Below are 945 nucleotides of genomic sequence, written 5' to 3' on the forward strand. Positions count from 1 at the left end.
CAGGCTGGTCTGGAACTCCTGACCTCAGGTGATCTGCCTGCCTCAGCCTCCCAAAGTGCTGGGTTACAGGCGTGAGCCACCACGCCCAGCCAGGAGTGAAGGTTTTAGAGCCAACCTGCCTGGTTCAAACTCTGCAGTGTGTAGTGTGACCTTTGGCAACTCACGTTCCCACTGTGTGCCTCAGTTTCCCCACCTGTTAAATGGAGGAATAACAATCTCTGCCTGACAGGGTTGTGGTGAGAGTTACAGGACTTGAAACATAGAACAGGGCCCAGCATGTCAAAAGCACTAAATAAATGTTAGTTCCGATTCTTGCTGTTAGGAAATATTAGGGTGTTTTTATGATTTTTTTTTTAAACTTTGTGTTTATCTGAACAGATTCAGACTCCCTCCCTGGGGGAAGATACAGGGAACCTGGGGGGTTTGCTTATTTTTAACAGATTTATTTAGTTATAATTCACATAGAATTCACCCATGTAAACCGTACACAGCAGTGGTTTTTAGTGTATCTGCGGACTTGTGTATCCATCACTGCGATTTTATTTTATTTTTGAGACAAGGTTTCCCTCTGTCACCCAGGCTGGAGTGCAGCGGCATGATGATAGCTCACTGCAGCCTCGATCTCCTGGGCTCAAGTGAGCCTCTGGCCTCAGCCTCCCAAATAGCTGGGACTACAGGCATATGCCACCACACCTGGCTAATTTTTGTGGGTTTTTTGTTTTGTTTTGTTTTTTGTATTTTTTGTAGAGACAAAGTCTCACTGTGTTGCTCAGGCTGGTCTCAAACTCCTGAGCTCAAGCAGTCCTCCCACCTTGGCCTCCCAGAGTGCTAGGATTATAGGCATGAGCCACCGTGCCTGGCCCATTACTGCAATTTTAGAATATTACCCCAAAGTAGGATACGGCTTCAATGTGGGTAGGTGGGTGGTAATTCTGACCTCTCTTT

This window comes from Homo sapiens, chromosome 16, assembly GCF_000001405.40.
Source record: "Homo sapiens chromosome 16, GRCh38.p14 Primary Assembly".
In the NCBI taxonomy this organism is placed as follows: domain Eukaryota; kingdom Metazoa; phylum Chordata; class Mammalia; order Primates; family Hominidae; genus Homo; species Homo sapiens.